The following is a 5,182-nucleotide window of genomic DNA, read 5'->3' as shown; positions in this document are numbered from 1 at the left end:
CTCCTTGTCTGTATGTTCCGCCAGACTGCATGCAGGGATCTGATCTATATTTCTCGTTGGTGTTGTCTCAATGCTTAACACAGTATACCTGGCACTACCCTTCAATATTTTTTGAAGAATGAGCACATGAATTATCATGTCTCCAGCTAGGTTCGCCAGTATGAGTAATATGTAGTGAGTGTCTACTGTGTGCCATTTTACTACCTAAACTTTTTATGGACTCTGTCCCCTAGTCTTATCTACCAATGCCATTGTCTTAGTTGAGATATCTGTCATTTCTTGACTGGTATAATACAGCAGCTTTCTAATTCCAATCTCAGTCCTCTCTGTTCTATTCTCCACACACAATCCTCTCTGTTCTATTCTCCACACAGCTTCCAGGGTGATATTTCTAGAGGCAAATCAGACCACGTCACTCCCAAGCTGAAAGACCACAGTGGGTTCAGTGTAGCCTACAGGGTATTCTAAAACCTGAGCATGGCATAATAGAACCTCCATGTCTTGGCTCCTGCCTACCTCTTTCCCAGCCACATCAACCACTACTGCTCCACTGGCATCGTACTCTCCAGCCTTAATGAATTGGTTGCAACTCCCCTCCTCCCACCGGTGCCTTGGCTTCTCATCATGCTACAGATTCTTTAACACACACATTGTCCTCCAAGAAGCTTGCCAGATCCACTCCTATTCTTTCAACGAAATGTTTATTGACCACTCTTTATACACTATGACCAAATAGGATTTATCCCACAAATGTAAGGTTGGTTCAACATGTGAAAATCAGTGTATATAATACACCATATTAATGGTTGGTTCAACATGTGAAAATCAATTTATATAATACACCATATTAACAGAATGCATGGCGGAGCGGGGGCGGGGGAGGGGGCTCATGGTCATCTTAATCATGTACAAAAAGGATCATTTGACAAAACGCAGTACCCTTTCATGAAAATAAATTCAACAAACCAGGAACAGAAAGAAACTTCTTCAACCTGATAGAGGGCATCCATGAAAAACCCAGAGATAATATCATACTTAATGGTGAAAGACTGGTTGATTTCCCCCTAAGATCAGGAATGCCACTTGTAACTCAACATTGTACTCAAAGTTCTAGTCAGGGCAATTAGTCAAGAAAAAGAAATAAAAGGCATCCAGATCGGAAAGGAACAAGTAAAACCATCTCTATTCATAGATGCATAGATGGCATGTTCTTATATAGAGGACACTAAAGAGTCCAACAAAAGAAAAAAAAAAAACTGAGACGGTTTGGCTCTGTGTCCCCACCCAAATCTCATGTCGAATTGTAATCCCCACCTGTTGAAGGAAGGGCCTAGTGGGAGGTGATTGAATCATGGGGGCGGACTTCCCCCTTGCTATTCTTCTGATAGAGCGCTCACAAGATCTGATGATTGTTTGAAAATGTGCAGCGCTTCCCCCTTTGCGTGCGTTCTCTCTCTCTTCCTCCTGCTCCAACATGTGAAGAAGGTGCTTGCTTCCCCTTCGCCTTCCGCCATGATTGCACGTTTCCTGAGGCCTGCCCAGAAGCAGAAGCCTTGTACAGCCTGCAGAACCATGAGGCAATTAAACCTCTTTTCTTTAGGAATTACCCATTCTCAGGCAGTTCTTTATAGCAGTGTAGGAACGGACTAATATGCCAACCCTGTCTGAGTATGCTCAGCAAAGCATATTCGGCTCAGCAAAGTTGCAGTATCCAAGATCAATCTGCAACAGTCGGTTGTATTTCTACACCCTAGCAATGAATAACATGAAAATAAGATTAAGGAAATGATTCATTTTACAGTAGCATCGAAACAATAAAATGTCGAGGAATAAATTTAACTAAAGGTGTACAAGATGTATACTCTGAAAATTTCAAGACGTTGCTAAAATAAATTAAAGAAGACCTAAATAAATCGAAAGGCATTTTGTGTTAACGGATTGGGACACTTAATATTGTTAAGATGCCCATAATCTCCAAGGCAATATACAGATTCATCGTGATGCCTGTCAGAATCCAACCTGCCTTCTTTGTAAAAACTGACAAGCTGATCCTAAAATTCATAAGAAAATGTAAGGGGCTCAGATAGCCAAAACAATCTCAGAAAAGAAAAAAGTTGAAGGACTCACACTTCCCAATTTCAAAACGTACTACAAAACCGCAGTAATCCGAAAAGGGTGGTACTGCCATCGTGATCGATACATTAGGTCAATGTTACAGAACTCAGAGTCAGGAATAAACCCATATATTTATGTAAAGTTTATTTTCAGTAAGAGTTCCGGCACCCCTCAATGGGTGGAGGGGAAGAATAATCCCCTCAACAAACTGCGCTGGGACAACTGGATAGCCACATGCAAAAGAAGGCCCCTGGACCCCTACCTCACATCATGTAAAGAATTAATTCAAAATGGATCACAGATCTAAATGTAAGGGCTGAAACTATAAAACTCTAAGAAGAAAACGGAGATGTAACTTTGCACGACCTTGGATTAGGCAACAGCTCCTTCAGTATGACACCAAAGGCAAAGCCACAGATATCTTTTCATTTGGCAAGTTGGACTACATCCAAATGTAAATCTTTTGGGCAACAAAGGGCTCTATCCAGAAAGTGAATGGGAGAAACATTTGCAAGTCACATATCTGATAAGAGTCTATTTTCCAGAATATATGAATAAGTTTTAGAAGCCCACAGCCAAAATACAATCAACCGAATTAAAAAATGGGCAAAGGGCTTGAATAGACATTCCTCCAAAGCAGAGGTACAGAGGGCCAAGAAGCACATGAAAAGATGTCTTAGTCTGTTTTCTGTTGCCATAATTGAATACCCGACACTGAACAATTTATAAAGAAAAGAAATTTATTTCTTACCGTTCTGGGGACTGGGAAGTGACCCGGCATCTGGGGACGGCAGAGGGTATCACACGGCGAGAGGGCAAGAGCGTGTATGTCGTTTCAGGCCTCTCTTCCTATTCTTATAAAGCCACCAGTCGCATCCTGGGGGTCTCACCCCGATGACCTTATCTAATCCTAATTACCGTCTCAGAGGCTGCGCCTCCAATCAACATGTGAATTTGGGGATTAAGTTTCCAAGACACACAATTTGGGGGATGCACTCAAACCACAGCAACATCATTAGCCATTTGGGAAATACGAATGAAAACCACCATGAGATAGCACTTGACACCCAGTAGGATGGCTACTGTAAACAAAACAAAATGAGGCAAACAGAAAACAGGTTTTGATGAGGCTGTGAAGAAATTGGGACTCTCATGCACTACTGTTGGGAATGCGAAAGATTACAGCTGCTGTGGAAATCAGTTTGGTGGTTCCTCAATAAGTTAAACAGAATTACCACACGAGCCAGCAGTTTGACTGCTAGAAATAGACCCAAAAGAACTGAAAAGAGATATTCAAAGAAAAACCTGTAGAGAGATGGTCATGGCAGTGCCACTCACAATAGCCAGAAGGGGGAAATAACCTGTCCATCAACTGACGAGTGGGTAAACAAAATGTGGCCTCCTATTCATACAACAGAATCGTACTCAGTCATTCAAAGGAAGGAAGTAGTGATTCATGCCTCTACATGGATGCACCCTGATGAAACCATTACGCTAAGTGAAAGCAGCCAGACACACACGGCCTCACATTTGGTCGTATAATTCCATCTATAGGAAATCTCCAGAACAGGCTAACCTCTATGGACAGAAAGCAGATGGACTAGGGGTTGCCAGGGACTATCGGGAACGTGTGTATGGGCGGGGGCAGGGGGTGTGTGTGGGAGGGTGTGGGGGCTGGTAGTGGTGGTGTGGAAGGAGGCGTGCGGCAAGTGACTGCTTATAGGTACAGGGGTTTCGGTTTCTTTTCGGGGTGTTGAAAACGTTTTGGAACTAGGTGGTCGTGATGGATGTGCAACATTGTGAAGGCGTGGTACCCGTCCTCCCCTCGCCCACCCCTTTGTCTTTCCCACGGTGTTCCCATCCAGTAGAAAGGGAAAGTTCCCACTGGCAAAGAGAGGGTCACCAGCGCGATTCCCCCTGCCCCGCCCCACCCCACCCCCACGGCCCTCCAGCCACTTCTAGGCCCAGGCCTGCTCCCTCGAGGCCAATGGGAAAGTGATGAGGTCACCTGACGGACGTGTGTCCCTTGTGAGGGGCCGTCACCACATGCGTGCCCGTCGCCGGATGTGCGTGCCCATTGGTCTCGGCTCCCTAGCCAATGAGGGGCTGGGCCCTGGTCGCTAGGATACACAGTACTGGACGCGGTAACTGTCCTCTTGAGAGCCATCTTGCCTAGCTGGGCCAAGCCGAGATAGCACACTCAACGCCCAGCATGCCGAGGAGGAGGAGACGCCGAGGGTCCTCCGGTGCTGGCGGCCGGGGGCGGACCTGCTCTCGCACCGTCCGAGCGGAGCTTTCGTTTTCAGTGAGCCAGGTGGAGCGCAGTCTACGGGAGGGCCACTACGCTCAGCGCCTGAGTCGCACGGCGCCGGTCTACCTCGCTGCGGTTATTGAGTACCTGACGGCCAAGGTCCTGGAGCTGGCGGGCAACGAGGCCCAGAACAGCGGAGAGCGGAACATCACTCCCCTGCTGCTGGACATGGTGGTTCACAACGACAGGCTACTGAGCACCCTTTTCAACACGACCACCATCTCTCAAGTGGCCCCTGGCGAGGACTAGCTTCTGACACCCGGCCCCTGGGACCTGACAGGTCCACTCGTCCACCCACCCGGCCCCAAATCCCCCGGCCTGAACCCCCGGCCTTAAACACCCTCCCCCCACAACCCAGGCCCCAAAGTCTTGGGCCTTCATTAATTCTGTCAATAAAATGTTTCAAGGAAGCCATCTGCCCGCTTCAGTCACTTTGCCTTGGGGTGGGGGTGGGGGGGCGGTGAGATGGGTTGGGGGGTTGTGAGACCTCCACAGCTGGAGGGATGGAGAGGTGGTGGGGGTCTGGGGTTGGGTGGGAGCCAGGGATGGCACAGAGGAGCCGTCTCTCCGGGTGACAGTGCAGGGGAGTGGCCCTGGGTGGGAAGGGGACACCCCCGCTGGTTCTGAGCAAGTCAGGGCCTGCCCGGGAAAGTCCTCAGCATGATGGTGTTCGTTGGGGCGGGTGGGCCTCAAGACCATGACTGCAGTGTTGCGACAGGACGGACTTCTAAGGCAACCGGGGTGGGGACGGAGAGG

General features: G+C 47.9%; 1 protein-coding gene across 1 annotated transcript, besides 2 other annotated features; it reads left to right on the top strand.

Moving 5' to 3' along the window:
• Positions 51-5,182: part of a non allelic homologous recombination region, noted in NCBI's record as "int22h-3 recombination region, recombines with the int22h-1 and int22h-2 recombination regions", that runs on past the window's edge. NCBI's record gives the evidence for it as "EXISTENCE:polymerase chain reaction evidence [ECO:0000082][PMID:9694739]" and "EXISTENCE:restriction fragment detection evidence [ECO:0001124][PMID:8275087, PMID:8528212, PMID:7981669]".
• Positions 3,367-5,182: part of a meiotic recombination region, noted in NCBI's record as "meiotic double-strand break mapped by DNA meiotic recombinase 1 chromatin immunoprecipitation followed by single-stranded DNA enrichment and sequencing in the germ cells of some male individuals with PRDM9 A/A, PRDM9 A/B and PRDM9 A/C genotypes", that runs on past the window's edge. NCBI's record gives the evidence for it as "EXISTENCE:chromatin immunoprecipitation-seq evidence [ECO:0000229][PMID:25395542]".
• Positions 4,250-4,840, top strand: H2AB3 (H2A.B variant histone 3). Its single transcript, NM_080720.3, has one exon. It carries the CDS (start codon positions 4,328-4,330, stop codon positions 4,673-4,675), a length of 348 nt encoding a protein of 115 aa, NP_542451.1. The 5' UTR covers positions 4,250-4,327; the 3' UTR covers positions 4,676-4,840.

Source organism: Homo sapiens, chromosome X, assembly GCF_000001405.40.
Source record: "Homo sapiens chromosome X, GRCh38.p14 Primary Assembly".
NCBI lineage: Eukaryota > Metazoa > Chordata > Mammalia > Primates > Hominidae > Homo > Homo sapiens.
The sequence above is the reverse complement of the archived record's forward strand: the minus strand, read 5'-3'. Positions and strand labels throughout refer to the sequence as shown.